At 36.3% G+C, this 23,303-nt stretch overlaps 1 protein-coding gene across 6 annotated transcripts in view, besides 1 other annotated feature; it reads left to right on the forward strand.

Annotated features, from left to right (window-relative positions):
• Nucleotides 1-23,303, forward strand: part of CNTN5 (contactin 5) — a 1,337,937-nt gene that overhangs the window by 1,289,218 nt on the left and 25,416 nt on the right. The window lies entirely within an intron of this gene.
• Nucleotides 18,401-19,600: an enhancer, noted in NCBI's record as "BRD4-independent group 4 enhancer chr11:100199299-100200498 (GRCh37/hg19 assembly coordinates)". NCBI's record gives its function as "activates an origin of replication core promoter dependent on BRD2, P300/CBP, MED14 and CDK7 cofactors, and independent of BRD4, by STARR-seq in HCT116 cells {active_cell/tissue: HCT116}" and the evidence as "EXISTENCE:reporter gene assay evidence [ECO:0000049][PMID:35650434]".

Genomic DNA, 23,303 nt, shown 5'->3' on the forward strand with positions numbered 1-23,303 from the left:
ATTAGTGTGAATTCACTCTAAACCTCTGAATCGGAACATCTGGGGCAGACGTCTGGTGTGCATACCTTTCAGAAAGCCACAAAGTATATTCTGGTGCACGGAAGAGTGACAACCCAGGCTCCTATATCTCAAAGGGATGTTCCCCTTATATAGCCAGTCACCCTCAAGCTTTTTTTATACCTGCCCTAATAGCATGACACTCAGATAACCATTATGATTCACCGTGTTGACATCTCTCTGTGAGGTCCTGCAAAGATCACATGTGCACAATTCTTCTCTTCCTAAATATAAATCATTCATTCTTTAATTCAATAAATATTTATGTAGACCTATTAAGTACCAGACAATGAGCTAAATGCCAGGAACAAACCAATGAGCAAAACAAAGTCCCTGCTCTTCTGAAGCTTGTATTGTAGTAGGGAAGGCACACAATCAACAAGCTAAGAAATAAGCGCATGATTTTTTAAAAAAAATATGAGATACAATTTCAGTTGATGATACAGACTATGTAGAAAAAATAGGGCAAGAAGGTAAAGAGAGAGAGTCTGATATTTTATAGAGGTTTGAGAAATCAACCTTTCTGTGGTTGCGACATGTGAGTAGAGACATGATGTAATGAGAGACGGCAGAGAGAACGGCAAGCCCAGGAGCTCTGAAGTACTAGCGTGCTGGACTTCTTCAAAGAATAGGAAGTGAATGATTTTGGTGAGAGTAGGGAGCACAGGGAGAGTGGGAGCAGGATGATGATGAAGAGATTAGCAGGACAAGGAACAGGTTTCTGGGGCCTTAGGAACCATAGAAAGAAGTTCAGATTTCATCCAAAGTATAAGAAGTCATAAAGTATTTCAAACTGGGAGGGACAAGTCAAGATCTGACATATTTAAAGCCTCTCTCAATCTGGAAGGTAGATAATAGACCCTGGGGAGGGCCTCAGACAGAAGAGCAGAGGGGCAGCTGTTCCAACCTCAGTGACAATGAGGTTGCTTTCAACTAGAGTGGTAGCAGTGGAGTTGATAAGAAGTGGACCTTTTAAAATATATTTTGAATTGAGGTGAGACAGAATTTGACAATAAATTACATGTAGGCTATGAAAAAGATGAGACAAAGATAATTGCAGAGATATTTGACCCAAGAAACTAGGTAAATGGCATTGTCATTCACAGAGATGAGGAACTCACAAAGAAGAGTGGGTTTTAGAGTGAAAATCAAGGATTCTGTTTCGGGTGTTTTAAATTTTAGGAACTTTTTTTATTTCTAAAAAGAGTTCTCAAGCAGGTCTTAAGTTAAGAGGAAGACTGGGGATGGAACTATAACTATGGGAAATCATAAGGTTATAAATAGTTTGTATGCATATACCAGCTAAGATCACTGAATATTTGGTAAAGAAGGTGCCTGAGAATTGAGCTCTGGGGTGGCCCACAATTTGGAACTCAATAAAGGAGAGGAGAGGGTCTGGCTGAAGAAACTAAGGAGGAGACACTGAAGAAATTCAGAAGCCAAGAGAAGAATTTCAAAATGGAGAGAATGTTCCATGCTGTCAAATGCTGCTGGGGAATTCAGAAAGATGAGACCTGAGATTGCCAGATGGATTCAGCAATGTGGAGACCATAAGTAACCTTGATGAGAGAGATTTTATGGAATGCTGATAATGAAGGCTTAACTGGAGGTTAAGATCAAGATTACTCAAGAGTGACAGTCAAGACCATCAGAGCACAATGTTTTCACTAGATCAGCTTCATTCAAAATAACTTATTGCAAGCAAAAATGGAATATATTTGAAAACAGAAAGTTAACAAGGATGAATCAAATTCTGAAATAATCATCACAATGACATTTTTGAATTAAAATAAATCAACGAAAATTCTGACAATGACTTTATACAAACAAACCGGGACAGAATTCATGGACATAGTAACTATTCTATTTCATAGCGCATTATAAATTGTAGTTTCAAAATATGGCATCTTGTTACCAGAAAATAAAAATCAACATCTCATTAATTGTGAAATTCTTTACTTTTTATAAACAGAACATAATGAAAACTTTGGCTAAACATGACATTAACTGTTATTTTAAGTATATTCAGTGAAGACTATTTTTGATTTATACTGTTTCATAACTGAATAGCTGCATGTAGATTTAACACTAAATATGATATAGGTGAAGCTATCAGGATCTCTCTTTTCCTCTCTTTTCTGTATTCTTTTTCCCTCGAAAGAGAGTTCTGCCTCTGTCCTTCACCAAACACATCTGGAACTTACTGCTCTCCTCTTCTCCCCACTTATTTTTCTCTATCAAAAATGTCACTTAGTAAAAGATTTCCCTAATTATTACTAAAATATAATGAACCCATAAAGCTTAACAATTTTGTTTACTTTTATCCCTCTTTTTCACTCTATCCCTACCACAATTCTACCTATATTTACTGATGGTCGAATTCAGAGCATGGTGACAATAAAACAAATATTGAAACAAGGGCATTTGTCATCAAAACCAAAATGATCAATTTCACATTTTATGTACTTATAATATCAGTCCTATGAGTCACTTTTCTAGCCATAATTTTAACTTCACATGCAAAATCTAAAACAGCAAGCTACTACAAAAGCATTAACTATGAACCACTTTGAAACTAGAGAAGACAGTGTTTTCAGCTGCCCCTCTTATTTTTCCTGAATCAGAACATCAATAAGATAGATAAGGTTCTGATCTTATGAATGTTACATCCTAATGGGGGAAAACATTTTTTTTAAAAATCAAGGAAACACATAAGTAATAAGATAAACTCTGATAACAATACACATAGAGGGTCAAAGGTATAGCAAACCTGGTTCCTGTGAGAACAGAAAGAAAGTGAAGCACTGGGAAATTAAAATAGTTTGAGGGTTGGGTAGAGACAAGATATGTATAGATATATGGGTTATGAAAAAAAGTTTGTCTTTTATTTGAAGTGCAGTAGAAAGCCATTGAGACAATTTAAGGAGGGAAGTCACAATGTCCGATTTATGTTTTTCTTTTTTTTAATCACTCTGGCTGCTCTTATATGAAGAATGAAAGGGAGAGGAAAGAAAGGTCAGAGAATTGAAGTTAAGAGTTATCACAATAATCCAAGCAAGAAATGATGGTGACCTAGACTTCAGCCAAAGCAGTGGAGTGGGAGAGAAGCAGATGTATTTTAGAGGCAGGGCTGGCAGGATTTGCTGATTGATCTGATGTGGAGGAAAGAGAAATGATGATTCCTGCATATCTGGCTTGGACACATAGGTAAATTGTGCCATTTACAAAAAAAAAAAAAAATGAAGGAAACTGAACAAAGAACAGATTTGAAGCTAGGAAATCAAGAGTTCTATTTAATCACATTGAATTTTTGATGCCTATTAGAGGCATCTAAGAGGGTAAGTCAGATAGGCAGTAGAACATGCCAGTTTGGAGTCAAATTGAGAGAACAGGGCTGAAAACATAGAGATGGCCATTATAGAAGTGGTATTTAAATCCATGCTACCATAGGAAAGCATCTGAGGACAAAATTTCAAGAGAAGAGGAGAGAACAAGAGCAGAGGGGAATGAGGAGGGTCCTGCTGTGTCCTGGCACACTCAGCATTTAGAAGTTGAGCTGAAGAGGAAGAATCAGCAAGGAGGCTGGCAAGAATAAATCAGTTTTGTAGCAGGAATACCACGTATGAATAAAAAAAGTTAAAGGAGTTGACCAAAAAGAGGGAACTGGTCAACTATGCTTAATGCTGCCAAGAGATCAAGTGAGATAAAGAGGGAAAAGTGCCTGTTTGGTTTACAGGTTATTGGTGATAACTTCCACAATCAAATAAATAATCAATATCCCTTATGTTGTCAATTAGTAACTTCAAGTTGTAGACATTTAGTAACCTTAATAATGCCACTGCTTCTAAAGAATGGTTGGTGGAAATAGTTTGAGGGCAAGGGAACGTCATTTCAGAGCTCTCAGCCCATCAGCACCTTACTTGATGTGGAATTTCCTGTATTTTGTCAGGACACCAACAGGTTTTGGTATTCATTCTTGTGTTGAGAATCACAGCTCTCCAGTGTTGGTATCAGAAATGGTTAAGAGCAAAATTCAACATCTGAATATATTTTTGCACCACATATTATAATGTGAGTATAATTAGCCACTGCAGAAAACTCTTTTAGCCTCAAAAAGAGTGAAAAGAAGTCAAATTGAGACTTTAACATGGTGTTTCCCTTGATGTACCAGGTATTATAGAGCAGGTAAATTAGAAACAAGATATCATTTCTGAAGTCATGTACACAGATTTATTTCCTTCTAGAATATGTTTTCTGTCAAGTCCATACCCATGTTCCACTTTGAAATTGATGACTGTATCCCTGGAATACATAGCGTGGTGTTAACTAGTAACACCTCAATGCATTTTCCTTAATAAATAATCAAACTGGAACCTATTTGTGATTCACTTGTCTCTGAAATCTTTGTATTTTCTTCTCTACTAATTGAGGGAAGCTACACTTGAGCAAGAGTCATTTGGAGAGAAGACGGCATCATTAAGGGCAGTAAAGGCCTTAAATCTCTAACAGCCTTACCTGATCTCCCTCCTGCAAGTTGCTATCATTAGGCTCTCCCTTCCCACTTCTGACTGCAGGTTCTCCTGATTTGGCTGCAGCCTGACTCTGATTCTGACCCTAAGTTGGCAGTCAAATTTCATCTCACATTTCCCTGACCTGGCTTTCTGTATGTTTCATTTGAATCTCATTTATTATTTATTTAACTAGTATTTATTAAATACCTGCTATGTTTTGATGCAATATTCAGGCTGAAACAATAAATACAACTGAGTTCCTGACCTTATGAAGTTTGCAGTCTAGCAAGGGAGACTATTTCTGCTTTCTTGAATTTTTGTATTTTGCTTCAATCCTCAACTAGGGTCTTGATCCTAACTTCTGGTAGCTCCTTTTGCTGATAACTTGGTTTTGATAATCTTTTCCCTGATGCAGTCCTGCAGAACAGCAGTAAGGATCTCAGTCAGAGGCTTCCCCTGGTAGCATTTGTCAGTAATCTACTTACACTTGGCATTTTGGCCTTTCGCAAGGAAGCTTCCATTACATCTTAATTGGTTTAAGAAATAATAAACCAAGCATTTTGACTTAAACTTTTCATTTTTAACTAACCCAACACTTTCAAGTACATGAAACAATTCAAATCAAATAGTGATTGATTTTTGTTATTAAATTGATGAATTGCTTTATCTAATAGAATGGTCATGGCAATTAAGATGCTAAGAATAGTTTTGCAAAAGACAAGGTCAGAATGATGACAGCCAGACAAAGTGATCAATGGTAAGGGGCTTGAGGACAATTTAGCAATTTTATCCCTTTCTGTTTCTGAGTGGATCCATCTTTAGACATTTTAAAAGGTAACAATTAGGCTACATGAGAACTCTACTGTACAAAGAAAAATGGTGGTCTTTTCCTTTCAACCAGCTGCCTCCTGAAAGAATGGCAGTACCTCACAAAAATGACCATCTGAAGAAATAAGAAAAAAAAATATGAAATTCCAAATGTAGACATTAATCCATCTATTTGTATCTTTCAAATATTTGAGAAATTTTGTCAACATCCGCTTAGAACCACCCATTTGTAAATTTTGGTTACCTACATGGCATTAGCTTGAAATTTTATGGTAGCAGGGACTAAATGTAGAAAGCACTGACACTGAGATATGTGAAATGTCTAGCTTATGATATGCAGCATGATTGAAAATTGAAAGTGGGCTGTATTTACTGAACAACTTTGATTCATGAATAACCATGACTGTCCCATCTGGATTGCCATCTCTGTCACTAGCCCATACAAGTAAATTATTAGGTTCAGTTTTGAATTTATGAACCCACCAGCATTAAGTGTCCTGTGTATGGTAATCTCTGAATCCTAGAGCAGAGTCCCTCAAGCTTTTCAGAACATAAAAGGATTTTTATGTGCATACAAATTCAGAGAAGATGCCAGTCTGGCAAGAAGGGAGGGTAAAGGATAAGGCCAAATTTCATAATCATTTCTGTGATTTTCCCAGATCAGCAAAACAGACAAAGTAAATTGTGATAATGGAATGTTGGATGATTCATTTTTTTCACTCCTTCACTCATCAAGCATTTATTCAGTATCGGGCACTATGCTGGGCAATGGGAATGTACATATAAATAAGATCTAGTCCTTACCCTCAAAAAGCTCACAGTCTAATATTGAGGGAGGTTTATGGGAAGTTGAAGTAAACAAAAAAGAAATACGTTGGAACAATATAATTCTCGTGTCTATAATTACCCCAGGATTTCTTAGCATCCTGATCCTCTGAAGAAACAGTGTGAATAAATCTGTGCCAATGCCTTACATGGGTGTAAGCTTCTCTGTTTTCATGAGAATATGCTTCTGTCCTGAAATTTTCCTTTATTTTCTAAATAAGTCAACAATAAAATAGTTATATTAACTGAATAAAATAAAAATGAAACTTTTTTCACTAGAGGTAATTTTTAAAACATTCATATTTCATATTCTGCCTGTGGAACAAAGTCTTCCATGATTGCCAAGTTTATGGTGCTTGTATTCATTCATCCCTTCTTGTAAGATAATTATTAACTGTATTTTTATCTTTTTAATAGCTGGACTCATTTTAACAATAAGCAACAATGTATTTTGTAGCAGGAGTTTAAGTGCACACTGTCCTGGTTTCAGTTCTGAACATTTTAGTGCTTATTATCAAGAAAAAACAAAAGACAAAACAGCTTGTCCCATTTTACAATACTCACTAAAAGGCACCTCTAGCAACTTCTTTGTTTGGGCTACGTGCAAGGTTCACATGTGTTCATTTTAAACCTTCCAGAGGATATGCAACTCAGAAGTTCATTTTAGACATGTCACTAAAGCCATTTCCACTTATTGATTGCACTGAAAGGACAGCAATTGTGTTTTGCTCTATAAAAGATGTCGTGGTGGGGATTCCTTCAGGGGAGAAGCGACAAGGCTGTTGTTCTTTATTTTATGATCTGACTCTAATCATTAGAGAAGGAGACAAAATAAATGGGCCTCCCTGTTCTCTGACAATAACTCATGCTGGGCAGATTGTATTTACTTTGTATGGGGGGGAGGAAATGTATATGTGTGAAGATGGACTTTAAGATACAAGTAAAAGGGGAAAAAGAAGCTAAAATGAAGCTAGTTACCAGAAAGCTAACAAAGGTTGTTTTATTTTCCATATGCTGTGTGGGTAGCCGCCATTTTACAGAGCCTCTTTGGCTTTTTATTAATACTACATTAAAGTAAGAATATAAGAAACTAAACAATAAGAAAAAATAAAATGCCAATTTTATCCTTTCTTTTCTGAAATTCTGAGGACTCTCATTTAAATCAAAGAGCTTTTATGTCACTATCATTAGATTTCTTTCTTGGCTTATTTTCATAGACTCTGAGGCCAACTAAAAATTACGTTTTCTGAAAATCATCAAATCAAAAGCAAATTGAAGTAATATTTCAATTGTTTAACCTGTTCTTTTCTTGTCCTATTGAAACACAACTCTATAATTTTTATCAAAAATAGTTACTCACTTTACTGTGTTTTTGTTTCATTTGATTCTAGATGCATGGCTTCATGGTTGAAATTCTGTAACTAAAACAACTTTAAAATTTTCTTTTCTACTGAAATTTTGACACAAACCATTTTAAGACTCTTAGGATATTTTCCTGAACATATTGTTGAAACACAAATGGAACCAAAAAAGTATTGATGATATGTTTTATCATATTTAGAAGTATTTCTCGGCTGGGCGCGATGGCTGAAGCCTGTAATCCCAACACTTTGGGAGGCCCAGATGGGCGGATCATGAGGTCAGGAGATCGAGAGCATCCTGGCTAACACAGTGAAACCCCGTCTCTACTAAAAATACAAAAAATTAGCCGGGCGCGGTGGTGGGCGCCTGTAGTCCCAGCTACTCGGTAGGCTGAGGCAGGAGAATGGCGTGAACCCGGGAGGCCGAACTTGCAGTGAGCCGAGATCGCGCCACTGCACTCCAGCCTGGGCAATAGAGCGAGACTCTGTCTCAGAAAAAAAAAAAAAAAAAAAAAAGTCTCATTTTTTTCACTCTTCAACATGAATGTGAATTTATTGCACCACCTCTAAACAGGGGTTTCTCATCCCTAAACCCAGCCATCCATGAGTTCATCAAATGTCCATCCTCAGTTTCACTGTATTATATAATGCACATTTGCACAAGCAGAGCATCCACGCAAAAATATGAAATCACAAATGTAGAGAGCAATTTATTTATAATTGACATTGTCAATTACTAATTGACTAATTGCCAATTAGTAAAGTGCTGAGACATTATTTTCCAAAGGGCAAAGCTTTTTAACAAATCTGCACACAGAAAAGTGCAAAAATTATTTTATTTTACAAATATTTGAACATTTTTGGTGAAATTTTCTGAGAACAGCCCATTTAAAAATTTCTAAATTGTGAAAAAATCTTCTTCCTCTTGAGGGCTGGGTTTATACCTTAAGCACCTGACAATGTACTTGTGATAGAGGAGTACTAAATCTATGAGTGTTGCACAGATACATACAGACATGGGCTTGCTTAATAAACTAGGAAATGAAGAAATTGTATAAAGTGTTTAAACACAAAAAGAAAAAGGTTTACAAAATCTATATTTAGCATTGTAAGAATTCTAATTGCTAATTGACTAAATGCCAATTACTAAATAGCCGAGACTTTATTTTCCAAAGGGCAAGGCTTTTTTCTTTAAATCTGCATACAGACAAGTGTACAAATCATAAACATATAGTAATAGCTGAATGAATTACTATGAAGTAAATACACTTGTCTAACCATAATCCAGTCCATGAAGCAGAACATTACTAAACCCCAGAGACCCAGTTTGGGTCTCCTATAGTCATTATCCTTATTCTTACCCCCAAAAAAACACTATCCTGACTTCTGTTTTCTTTTTCTTTTCTTTTTTTTTTTTTTTTTGAGATGGAGTCTCGCTCTATTGCCCAGGCTGGAGTGCCATGGCGCAATCTCAGCTCACTGCAACCTCCGCCTCCTGGGCTCAAGCAATTCTCCTGCCTCAGCCTCCCAAGTAGCTGGGATTACAGGCACGCACCACTGTGCCCAGGTGATTTTTGTATTTTTAGTAGGGATCGGGTTTCACCATGTTGCCCAGGCTGGTCTTGAACTCCTGACCTCAGGTGATCCACCTGCCTCAGCCTCTGAAAGTGCTGGGATTACAGGCATGAGCCACTGTGCCCAGCTGACTTCCCTTTTTTCTGACAGATGAAATTATATGGATTTATCATGTACATGCTTTGAAGTATATATACATCATACAATGACTAAATCTAGCTAATTAGCATATGCATTATTGCACATAGTTATCATTTTTAGGTGAGAAAATCCACTCTCAGCATTTTTAGAGAATGCAATATATTAATTAGAGTCACAATGTTGAGCTTATTGATCTTACCTGAAATTTTGTATTCTTTGACCAACTGCTCCCTAGTCCCAGCCCTCCCAATCATTCTCACCCTGATAAACACCATTTTGCTCTCCACTTTTATGAGATCAACTTTCTTAGAGTCCACATATGGGTAAGACCATGTGGTATTTGTCTTTCTGTGCCTGGCTTATTTCACTTAACATAATGGTCTCCAGATTCATTTATGTTGTTGCAAATGGCAGGATTTCTTTCTTTTTTATAGTTGAATGGTGAATAGAATTTCGCTGTGTCTATATAACACATTTTCTTTATCTGTTCATCTGTTGATGGACAAGATATGATTCCATATGTTGGCTATCGTGAATAGTGTTGCAATGAACATGAGAGTGCAGATGTCTTTTTGACATACTGATTTCATTTTATTCGAATATATACCAAGTAGTGAGATTGCCAGATTATATAGTAGTTCCATTTTTAATTTTGGGGGGAGCCTCCATACTGTTTTCAATAATGGTGGTACCAATTTACATTCCTATCAATGGAGTGCAAGGGTTCCCTTTTCTCTATTTGTTATCTTTTGACTTTTTGATAAAAGTTATTCTAATGTGTATGCAGTGATATCTCATTGTGGTTTTCCTTTTCATTTCCCTGATGATTAGTGAGATTGAGCATTTTTCCATATACCTGTTGGCCATTTGTATCTCTACTTTTAAGAAATGTCCATTCAAGTCCTTTGCCCATTTTTTAATCGGTTAATTTGTTTTCTTGCTATTGAGTTGAGTTGCATATATATTTTGAATGTTAATCCCTTATCAAATGTAGAGTTTGCAGATATTTTTGCCCATTCTGTAGGATTTTTTTTCACTCTGTTGATTGTGGCTTTTGCTGTGCAAAAACTTTGTAGTTTGATGTAATCCCATTTGGTTTTTTTGTTTGTTTGTTTTTGCTTTTGTTGCCTGTGGTTTTTTTTGGGTCATATCCAAAAACTCATTGCCCAGACCAAGGTCATAGAGCTTTTCTCTACATTTTCTTCTAGTAGTTTTACAGTTTTATATCTTATGTTTACATCTTTCATACAGTTTGCATTGATTTTTTTACATGGTGGAAGCTGAAGGTCTAATTTCAGTCTTCTGCATGTGGATATCCAGTTTTTGCAGAACCATTTATTAAAGAGACTATCCTTTCCCCATTGTGTGTTCTTGGCACCTTTGTCAAAAATCAATTGATCATAAATATGTGGATTAATTTCCCGGTGTTTTATTCTGTTTCATTGATCTATGTATCTGTTTTTATACCAATAGCATGCTGTTTTTGTTACTATAGCTTTGCAGTAAATTTTGAAGTCGGGTAGTTTGATACCTCCAATTTTATTCTTTTTGCTCAAGATTGCTTTGGCTATTTGGGGACTTTTGTAGTTCTCTATGAATTTTATGATTGTGTTTTCTATTTCTGTAAAAAATGTCATTAGAATTTTGATAGTACAATGACTCTATAGGTCCTTTTAGATACTATGGACATTTTAACATTAATTTTTCCAGTCCATGAACATAGGATTTTTTTCCATTTATTTATGTCTTCTTTGATTTTTTTAATCAATGTTTTATAGTGTTTAATTTAGAAATCCTTCACCTTCTTGCTTAACTTATTCCTAAGTATTTTTTTTTTTTTTTGGTAGCTATTTTAAATAGGATTGGTTTCCTGATTTCTTTTTCAGGTAGTTCACTACTGGTGTATAAAAACACTACTAAATTTTGTATGTTGATTTTTTTATCTTGTAATTTTCATGAATTTGCTTATCATTCCTAAGAGTTTTTTGGCAAAGTCATCAGGGTTTCCTATATGTTAGATTATGTCACCTGCAAACAGGGACAATTAACTTCATCCTTTTCAATTCTAAAGCTTTTTCTTTCCCTTGTGTATTTGCTCTGGCTAGGACTTCCAGTACTATATTGAAGAGAAGTGGCAAGAGTATGCATCCTTGTCTTTTTCCAGACCTTAAAGGAAAAGCCTTCGGCTTTTCCCTGTTTAGAATGATGTTAGTTGTGTGTTTGTTATTTACGGCCTTTATTGTGTTGAGGTACTTTTCTTCTATACCTAATTTGTTGAGAATTTTTACCATGAAAAAATGTTGAATTTGTCAAATGCTTTTTTGCATTTACTGAAATGATCATATGGTTTTTGTCTTTCATTCCAGTGAGATGATGTATTACATTTATTGATTTGCAAATATTAAACCATCCTTACATCCCCACACTTGATAATAATGAATGATTATTTAAATGTGCTGTTGAATTTGCCTTGCTAGTATTTTCTTGAGGGTTTTTGCATGTATATTAATCAGGGATATTGGCATATAGATATTTTTGTGTGTGTGTGTCCTTGCCTGGCTTTGGTATCAGGGTGATGCTGTGCTTGTAAAATGAGTCCGACAGTATTCCCTTCTCTTTCACTATCCTGACTTCTAACAACACTAGTTGGTTTTTACCAGTTTTTGAAATCATCTGGAGCTTTTTATGTCTTGTTATTTTTCACTCAACACTATGTTGGTAAGAGTCACCCATATTGTTACATGCAACTGTAGGTAATGCCGTCTTTTTTTTTTTTTAGACGGAGTCTCGCTCTGTCGCCCAGGCTGGAGTGCAGTGGCGCGATCTCAGCTCACTGCAAGCTCCGCCTCCTGGGTTCACGCCATTTTCCTGCCTCAGCCTCCCGAATAGCTGGGACTACAGGCGCCCGCCACTACGCCCGGCTAATTTTTTGTATTTTTAGTAGAGACATGGTTTCACCATGTTAGCCAGGATGGTCTCGATCTCCTGACCTCATGATCCGGCCGTCTTGGCCTCCCAAAGTGCTGGGATTACAGGCATGAGCCACTGCGCCCGGCCTCGTAATGCTGTCTTCTAAACTACATCGTAAGAGTACCCCACAAGTAATTTATCATTCTACCATTGACATACATTAAGGTTGTTTCCAGTTGGGTCTGTTATGAATAACACTATATAAAGCAATTTCAGGAGAATTATCTATTTTACCATATTGAGTCTCCTAATTCATAATCATGGTATATTCCACTTTTTTTTAAGCCTTCTTTGAGCTTTGTCAGTATACAGGTCTTGATAGTCTTTTCTTAGATTTTTCTCTGTTTTACTATTTGGTGCCATTTTAACTTATCCTGTATTTAATTTAGATTTAACTTTGTGTTATGAAAATTTTTAAAAATATCTGATATATAATATACAGAAGAGTATAGTGAATTTCTATAAACTTAGCACTTACCTTAATCTATTATGAATCAATGAATAATCTGTTTTGTGTATAATGCCACTTAGTCAATCTCCTATATTATTTTGAAGCAACTGTCAGCCATTATATTGTTTCACAGAACATATCTCATTAAAAATCTCTAAAGTATATGCTTTTTAAAAATTGCCACCTCTCTGCTTCCTGAGAACATGCAGGTTAGAAAATGTCCTCAGTGTAAAAAGCTGCGAACTAAAAAAGCATACCTAATGTAACTCTGTCTTCAATGTTTCTCTTGGTCTCTGCCTACATTACTAGGTTCTCCAATGTTTATCTCTGAGCAAGCATAGTTTATCATTCAGCCAAGGATTTAACAGGCTTTATACTCAGATTGTGGCTCTTATCCTTTCTCGCTTCTTGAATTTCTATTTTGTGTTTTCAACGGCTCTTTCTGATTAACTTCCTTTGCTACTCCAACTGATCAAGCTGCAATCTTTTGCCACCATTGCCAGAGGGATTGAAGAACATTCACAAACAAAATAAGCCACAAACTCACAATTCTTACTGTTGCAGTTTCAGACTTTCAAGAGTAAACTCTCCTCTAGCTTCTGTCTGCTTTTGGATGCTTGCCATGATTTTAAAATTCTCATTTGGGTCGGGGTTTGTATAATCATTTCACTCATCCACATTTCCATCATTTTCTTAATATCTGTAAGATCTGTGGGATATTTTCTTTCTGTCAGTATTTATATGTCCTCCTCCCCCCCCCTTCTTTTCATCACTCTTGATTAAAAGAGATTTACAAAATATGTGATCTTTTCAAAGCATTAACTTTGTCTTTATTCATTTTCTTAATGTTTCTTTTTCCAATTCATTTTGTTGTTCCTGTCATTTTTATATCCTTCTTTCTACTTTATTTAGGTTTAAAATTTATTGCTCTATTTTGAACATCTTAAGATGGATATTCACTGACTTTTGGCTTTTATTTTTTTCCAGTATATATATTAAGGCTATACATCTCCAAAATTCTCTCTTCCCAGCATCTCATACAGACTATGTCATATAATATCATTAACTAGTTAGTAAATTTTAAAGATTAATATTCTTCTACCTGAAAGTATTTCAGATCAAAACTTTTGTTCTTTCATTAAATTAAGATATATTAAACAATATTGTAATATGTCAACCTAAAAGGAAGAAGCTTAGGAAAACGAATATAGATAAAGTGTTCATTTGGGCCAAGTTTGAGGACTGCAACCCAGGAGTATAGATTCAAGTTGCCCTGAATATACACTCTGATTAGTAGCAGTAACAAATAGATTTTTAAAGGCAAAGAAAGGGCAGCGGTGGGAAGGGAGTGGGCTGATACAAAGTCCTTTCTCAGGAATTCTCATTTATTTACAGAAATAGCATTGATTAGTGAATGGCTATACATTGTGAAGCTATAGGGTTATAGTGTCTGATGTGGCATTATTAATTAGTAGCTACTTGTAGCAATAGCAAGCAGTTTCAAAAGATAAATACATTGCTCAAAGGGGAAGTGGGGCATGGTTGCAGTCTCATTTTAATGTTTCTCTGGCTATAATAATCAAAAGGACTTGCGTTCCTCAAATAAAATTTCTTTTCTCAATTTACAGGTCATCTCACAAAACATATTCAAGTACATCAGTTATAATTAAATGCTCTTAGAATTTTTTCTATTCAATATTCTCTCTTTCAAAATGTTTCAATAAAGAATATGAAGAAGGCAACTAATATTTGTAAAAGACATACACTGAACTACATGTGTTAGGAAAATATTTAATTATATTTATAGCTAATCTTCAGTATATTTTCTTTATGCAGCAATAACAGCTTCTAGGAAAAATAAATACAAATTTATTCAGTAACTAATATCCATTATTATGTTTCTTCTGCATTTTAAACTTTCTCACCTCATATCATCTAATCACTGTTGAACTGCCTCATAAATATTCAAAAGTTTAACTAAGCATCATTTATTTATTTTATGTAACTCATTAAATTGCATCCTTTATGGTAAAATTACCTCTGGGCACAAAGTAACTAATATGCATGCAATTTAATAATACTGACTGCCAGCATATCTCAAAGTATTGATTGTGAATAGCCAATTTAATAACTATATCTAGTACTAAATTCAAGAGTTTGGGAAACTGGAGATGAACTAAATTGACGCAAGCAGGGACTTTGCCAATCAAAACAAATTCAACTTTCATGGAAAATGTGCTCCCCACATATAGGATTTTGAAACTCTTAGTAGAAGGACATGCCTGATCTTAGATGCTGTATAAGACAGGAAGAATGTAAAAAGCAATCTAACCACTAACAGGAAAAAGGTCATGATATTCCAAAATATATCTGAAGGTAAGGAATTAGTAGTGAAACTATGCTATCAGTGAAATATCTGTCCTCTAACCCTCAATTTAAATTAGTTGCAACTTTTGTGTTAGAAATGACAGTAAATTGAACGAAAGCATGTAAAACCAACTTTCCTTAATTCCCCCTTAAAGCACCCATGAAACCATCAGAAAAGACAGTCCTCACTGCAATCACAGTGAGTGGTATAAAACAAAGTTATCAGAGTGTTTTCTAGGTTTTTCTTTCCTTTCATCTTTGTGCAGTGACCCAGCCTCAAAATCCCATTTTCTAGGTTCAAGCAAGCAATGAAATAGCCTCTGGCCCTTTATCTTTTCTTCAACAAAACAACTTCACTCATACATATGAAGCTGTGGTTTTCAGCCCAAACCTGGTTAGATTTCTTTGGGTTGTTTGAAAATACGAGTAGAGGCTTATACCAACAACCAATAATCTGGCATCTCCCTGCACAGCATAGACTACTGGTCTGGGAGATAAAGTCTAGAAATGGATGTCTCACCATTCAAATAATCCTTAAACTCATTTTTAGAACAGTTGAAGATCAGTCAGATAAGACACAAAGGTGATGAGACTGAAGGAAAATCTTTGAAAGAGAAAAACATATAGAAGAAAAACCTTAGAAAGAAGGAAATGAATGATTAGCTTTAGTATGAATTCCTTTTCCTAGAAAAGATTTTCTTGTAAATCAGAAGAAAAATTTTAAATATATAGTTCTAACCTCAATGAGATAAACGAGAATAGTTCTTTTATATTTAAAGAACAATTCAGAATAGGAAGAGAATACAATAAAATCAAAATCAAAGTGACTAAAATATTCATTGGAAGCAATAAGATGTAAACTTGATAGTATTAACTATTTAAACCAATGCTTCAGAGTACAAACTTGAGAAATAATTGTAGAATGCAAAGTAAATCAATAAGAAAATTTTATTTTTAAGATGTGAGAGAAAATGGTAGACGTGAAAGACAGAATAGATTTGGCTCATACATAATAGGTATCTGCGAAGAAGATAGAATATATGGAACAAAAGGAATAACAGAAAAAAAGTGAACAAAACTCCAAAAACAAAGCAACAAGGAAAAAATTCTGACATTTAAGATAGAGAAATTCCAATGTTTCAAGAAATATTAAAATCTTAACAGCCCCATCTTTGTCACTCCCATAATTAATCCATCACCAAAGACTATTGATTTTATCTTCTAAATATTTATTCATCCATACACATCCCTATATCTTCCACCATGCCCCTAGTTTAAGCTACGCTCATTTCTGACCAAGACTCCAGCAACATCTCCTAAAAGCTCTTGATGTATCCACACTAACCCGTTTCCAATCTGCCCTTTATATTTCAACTGTTTATTCAGTAAGACAAATTATTGAGTGCCTCCATCTGCTACCATAAAGCAATCATGAATAAATTAGGATAATTTCACATGTGATAGTTGTAATAATAATTATATTAAAAATTAAAATGATGTGAGAGAGAGTGACTAAGGGAGGGGTGGTTTCTTTAAAGAAGTGGCCAAGGAGGCTTCTTGGTTAAGCTGAAACCTATCTGAAAAGAAGGAGATAGCCATTTGGAGAACTGTGAAAAGAGCTTTCAGTCACTGGGCACCAAAAGCTCAAAAACTCTAAATTGAGAATGTGATTGAACGTTTGAGGCCCATTTTGCTAGAAGGCAGTGGACAAAGTGAGATGCAGAAGTATAGAGACTATATCAGGTAGAGCCTTGAAGCCATGGTGAGAAGTTTGGAATTTATTCTAAGTGCAAAAGGAAGCCTTTTTAACAAAAGGAAGTTTTTAACAAAAGAAGGATCTAATTTATGTAGTTTAAAACAAAAACTAACTTGATACCGCTGTGTGTATCTTTTCAAAACACAAACCTAATTGTGCCACAGGCACACTCCCAGCCTCATCCTGCTTAAAAGCATTCCATGTGTTACACTTGCACATAGGACATTTTTGGTTTTTACTAATCCTAGCTCCTTAACATGGCCAACTACAAGATCTGGCTCCATCTATGACTCCAGCATCAAGTGCACCACACACGGATCACCCTCCACATCTGCCTAACTGTACTTTCTTCAGCCCCACATCCCCCTCTTTCCAGACTGCACACAGGATGCCTCTGCCTTCCCTCTCCCTTTGCCTGCTGAACTCCCAATCATCTCTCAGCCTTCAATGTAACTGTCTCTGCCTTAGTGAAGACTTCCCTGACCAGCCCCTGCCCACGGAGTCCTATCCCTCAAGTTAGATCTGTATCAATATATAGCTTCCCATAAACCTCTGATCAAAACCCGAGTTTTACATTTGTGGGTGTGATCATTTATTCAACAGATCGTGCCCTAAGTAGACTGTAACTCCAAGAGGGCAGGGACTTCATCTATTTTGACTCACCATTGATTCTCAGTTGGCCCTAGGCACAGTGTTTGGTAAATAACACTGAGTCAAAAAATACCTTCGAATGGATAGTTGAATTAACAAGTTTTTAGAACTCAAGACCTGGTAAAATATCAAATTTCAATATGCATTTTCATTAAAAATAAAACTGATTAATAGAAAGACAAAATTTGATTATTAATAAAACCAATTAGTAGAAAGACAAAATTACTCTCAAAGATGCAAAAATCAAAAAGATTTTTCTTCTACATTTAATAAAAGCAGAAAATAGAGTGGTGTCTACTAAATGCAGGGAGTACAACATTGAGTTAGCAGTGATCACTGAGTACAATTAAAGGTATAGAAGTAACAGAATACAAGTGCTAAGAGTTGTATTTTTAAAACCTAACAAGCAGGCCAGGCATGATAGCTCACACCTGCAATCCCAACACTTTGGGAGGCCAAGGCAGTAGGACCGTTTAAGGCCAGGAGTCCTAGACCAGCCTAGGCAACATAGCGAGACCATGTCGCTACCAAAAAAAAAAATTAAAAATTAGCTGGGTGTGTTGGCGCACACCTGTAGTCCTACCTACTAGGGAGGCTGAGGTGGGAGGATCACTCTAGCCTAGGAGATCCAGGCTGCAGTAAGCTCAGATCATGCCACTGCACTCCAGCCTAGGACTAATACAGGACAAATAAAATGAGACCGTGTCTCAAATGAGACCGTCCCTTCTTGCAATCCTATGAAGAACTACCTGAGACTGGGTAATTGATAAAGAAAAAAGGTTTAATTGACTTACAGTTCAACAAGCTGTACAGGAAGTCCGGCTGAGGAGGCCTCAGCAAACTTACAATAATGGCAGGAAGGCAAAGGAGAAGCAGGCACATCTTACATAGCCAGAGAAGAAGGAAGAGACAGGTGGGAGGTGCCACAGACTTTTAAGCAACCACATCTCCCGAGAACTTATTCACTATCAAAAGAACAGCAAGGGGGAAATCTGTCCCCATGATCTGATCAACTCCTACTAAGCCTCACCTCCAAATTGGGGATTACAATTTGACATGATATTTGGATGGGGACATAAATCCAAACCATATCAGACCTTGCAAAAAAGAAAAAAAAGAAAAAGAAAAACCTGAAGATGGCAGATAGGTGGCAGAACTAGCTTGCAGCTCCTGCTCAGATGGACAGAGCAGCATGTGAAAACTCACATGGTGAACTTGTGCTCCAAGAACTACCAAAGGAACATACCAGGAAAGCCAAGAGAATCCACAGTCCCTTTGAAGGAACTGGATCACCACTGAAAGCTCCTTGAGATGCTAAAAAACTGAGTCGGCTTGGTTTTTCAACGAGGAGGCATGCAGTCTGGGATAAGTTCTCAGTCTTGATCACTGGCTGCCCGGAAATAAACTCAGTGCTATTGGAGGGGGGCGTGGTGGGAGTGAGACCAGCCTTTAGGACTGCAGGCTGTGTAAGAGCAGGTTGAGGCTTGTTACTGCTGGGTTTTCCCTACTTCCCTGGTGACCTGTATGACTCAGCAGAGGCAGCTCTAATCCCCTTGGGAATATAACTCCACTGGACTGGGAACCACACCCCCATTCTCCACAGCAGCCACAGCAAGCCCCACTCAAAGAGAGGCTGAGCTCAGAAATGGCTATCCCTGCCCCTACCTGGTAGTCTTTTTCTATCCACCCTGGTAGCCAAAGACAAAGGTCTTAATTTCTTGAAAACTCTAAGGCCCCAGCCACTGCCTGAGAAACCTGAATACTTAAACAGCTGTGCTTAGGGCAAGTTTGCATCCTCCCTATAGGACTGCAGCTGGTGTGCTCTTGAAAGTGCCACCACTTGGCTGGAGGCCAACTAACCCAAAAACTGCACACTAAACAAAAGCACAACCAAGGACCTTCACAGTGTCCACTTCACTCCCCAACTAACACCACTGGAGCAGGTGCTGATATCCAGGCTGCAAGACCTGAAGATGACTCACATCACAGGACTCTTTGCAGACAGCCTCCAATGCCAGCCAGAATACCAGTAGCCCTGCTGGGTGGCTGGACCCAGAAGAGCAAAAACAATAACTATGGTTCAGTTCTCAGGAACCCTTATTGCTAGGGAAAGGGAGAGAACACCACATCAAGGGAGCACCCCATAGGACAAAAGAACCTGAATAGCAACGCTTTAATCCCAGATCTTCCCTCTAACATAGTCTACCCAAATGAGAAAGACCCGGAAAAAACAATTCTGGTAATATGACAAAACAAGGTTCTTTAACACCCCCAAAAGATCATACCAGCTCACCAGCAATGGATCCAAACCAAGATGAAATCTCTGCATTGCCACAAAAAGAATTCAGAAGGTCAATTACTAAGACAATCAAGGAGGCACCAGAGAAAGGTGAAGGCCAACTTAAAGTATTCAAAAACATGATACAGAATGTGAAGGAGAAATTCTTCAGTGAAATACACAGCACAAATTTAAAAAAATCACAACTTCTGGAAATCAAAGACACACTTAGAAAAATGCAAAATGCACTGGAAAATCTCAGCAATAGAATCAAAAAGCAGAGGAAAGAACTCTGGAGCTCAAAGACAAGGCTTTTGAATTAACTCAATCCATCAAAGACAAACAGAAAGGAATTTTTAAAAAGAACAAAGCCTTCAAGAAGTTTGGGACTATGTTAAATGGATAAACCTAAGAATACTTGATGTTCCTGAAGAAGAAGAGAAATCTAAAAGTTTTGAAAACATACTTGAGGGAATAATCAAAGATAACTTCCCAAGCATTCCTAGAACTCTAGACATCCAAATATAAGAAACTCAAAGAACACCTGGGAAATTCATCACAAAAAGATCATCACCTAGGCACATAGTCATCATGTTATCTAAAGTCAAGACGAAGGAAATTTTAAGAGCTGTGAGGCAAAAGCATCAGGTAACCTATGAAGGAAAACCTATCAGAGCAACAGCAAATTTATCAGCAGAAACCTTACAAGCTAGAAGGAATTGGAGTCTTATTTTTAGCCTCCTTAAACAAAACAATTATCCCCCAAGAATTTCATATCCAGTGAAACTAAGCTTCATAAACAAAGGAAAGATACAGTCTCTTCCAGACAAACAAATGCTGAGAGAATTCACCACTACCAAGCCAGCGCTACAAGAACTGCTAAAAGGAGCTCTAAATCTTGAAACAAATTTTCAAAACACACCAAAATAGAACCTCCTCAAAGCATAAATCTCACAGGACCTGTAAAACAATAACACAATGGAAACAAAAAACAAGGTATTCAGGCAACAAATAGCATGATGAATAGAACAGTACCTCATATCTCAATAATAACATTGAATGTAAATGGCCTAAATGCTCCACCTAAAATATACAGAATGGCAGAATAGATAAAAATTCACCAACTAAGTTTCTGCTGTCCTCAGGAGACTTGCCTAACACATGAGGACTCATATAAACTTAAGGTAAAAAGGTGGAAAAAGATATTCAATGCAAATGGATATCAAAAGTGAGCAGGAGTAGATATTCTTATATCAGACAAAACAAACTTTAAAGCAACAGCAGTTTAAAAAGACAAAGAGGGATATTATATAATGATAAAAGGACTAGTCCAACAGGAAAATATCACAATTCTAAATATATATGCACCTAACATTGGAGCTCCCAAGTTTATAAAACAATTAATACTAGACCTAAGGAATGAGATACATGACAACACAATAACAGTGGGATACTTTAATACTCCACTGACAGTGCTAGATAGGTCATCAAGACAGAAAGTCAACAAAGAAACAATGGACTTAAACTAAAACCTAGAACAAATGGACCTAACAGATATCTACAGAGCATTCTACCCAACAACTCCAGAATGTACATTCTGTTCATCAGCACACAGAACATCCTCCAAGATAGACTATATGATAGGCCACAAAACAAGTCTCAGTAAATTTAAGAAAATCAAAATTATGTCAATTAGTCTCTCAGACCACAGTGGAATAAAATTGGAGATGAGTTCAAAAAGGAATCCTCAAAACCATGCAAATACATGGAAATCAAAAAACCTGCTCCTGAATGATTGCTGGCTCAACAACGAAATCAAGATGGAAATTTAAAAATTCTTTGAACTAAATGATAGTAGTGACACAACCTATCAAAACCTCTGAGATACAGAAAAAACTAAGAGATAAGAAGAAAGTTCATAGTATTAAATGACTAGATTAAAAAGTCTGAAAGAGCACAAATAGACAATCTTAGGTCACACTTCAGAGAACTGAAGAAACAAAAACAATCCAAACCCACATCCAGCAGAAGAAAAGAAATAACAAAGAGGAGAACTAAATAAAATTGAAACAAAAAAAGAAAAATACAAAAGATAAATGAAACAAAATGCTGGTTCTTTGAAAATATAAGTAAAATCGATAGACCATTAGCATGATTAAACAAGAAAAGAAGAGAGAAGATCCAAATAAGTTCAATTAGAAACAAAACAGGAGATATTACAACTGATACCACAGAAATACAAAAGACCATTCAAGGCTATGATGAACACCTTTACATGCATAAACTAGAAAATCTAGAGGAGAGGGATAAATTCCTGGAAATATGCAACCCTCCTAGAGTAAACCAAGAAATATAGAACGTCTGAACAGACCAATAATGAGCAGCGAGATTAAAATGGTTATTTAAAAATTGCCAACAAAAAAAAAGTCGAGGATCACATGGATTCACAGCTGAATTCTATCAGACATTTAAAGAAGAATTGGTACCAATTCTACTGACACTACTCAAAAAGACAGAGAAAGAGGGAATCCTCCCTAAATCCTTCAATGAAGCCAGTATCATCCTAATACCAAAACCAGGAAATGACATAACAAAAATAGAAAACTACAGATCAATATCCCTGATCATCATAGATGCAAAAATCCTTATGTCAAAAAGATAATACACCATGATCAACTGGGTTTCATACCAGGGATACAGGGATAGTTTAACACGTAAGTCAGTAAATGTGATACACCACATAAGCAGAATTAAAAATCACATGATCATCTCAATAGACACAGAAAAAGCATTTGACAAAATCCAGCATCTCTTTATGATTAAAATCCTCAACAAAATTGGCATACAAGGGACATACTTTAAGGTAATAAAACCTGTCTATGACAAACCCACAGCCAATATTATAAATGGGGAAAACTCGAAACCATTTCCCCTGAGAACTGGAACAAGGCAAGGATGCCCACTCTCACCACTTCTATTCAGCATAGTACTGGAAGTCCTACCCAGAGCAATCAGACAACAGAAAGAAATAAAGGGCATCCAAATTGGTAAGGAGGAAGTCAAACTGTCACTGTTTGCTGATGATATGATTGTATACATGAAGACAAAAAAGCTCCTAGAACGGATAAATGAATTCATCATAGTTTCAGGTTACAAAATTAATATGCAAAAGTCAGTAGCTCTGCTATATGCCAACAGCAGCCAAGCTGAGAATCAAATCAAGAGCTCAATGCCTTTTACAATAGCTGAAAAAAATAAAAATAAAATACTTAGGAATATACCTAACCATCGATGTGGAAGACCTCTACAACAAAACACTGCTGAAAGAAATCATAGACAACACAAATTGAAACACATCATGCTCATGGATGGGTAGAATCAATATTGTCAAAATGACCATACTGCCAAAAGCAATCTAGCAATTCAATGCAATTTCCATCAAAATACCACCATCATTCTTCACTGAATTAGAAAAAAAAAAAAAAAAAAAAAAAACACCTAAAATCCACATGGAACCGAAAAAGAGCCCATG

The sequence above is a fragment of the Homo sapiens genome, chromosome 11 (genome assembly GCF_000001405.40).
Source record: "Homo sapiens chromosome 11, GRCh38.p14 Primary Assembly".
NCBI classification, from domain to species: domain Eukaryota; kingdom Metazoa; phylum Chordata; class Mammalia; order Primates; family Hominidae; genus Homo; species Homo sapiens.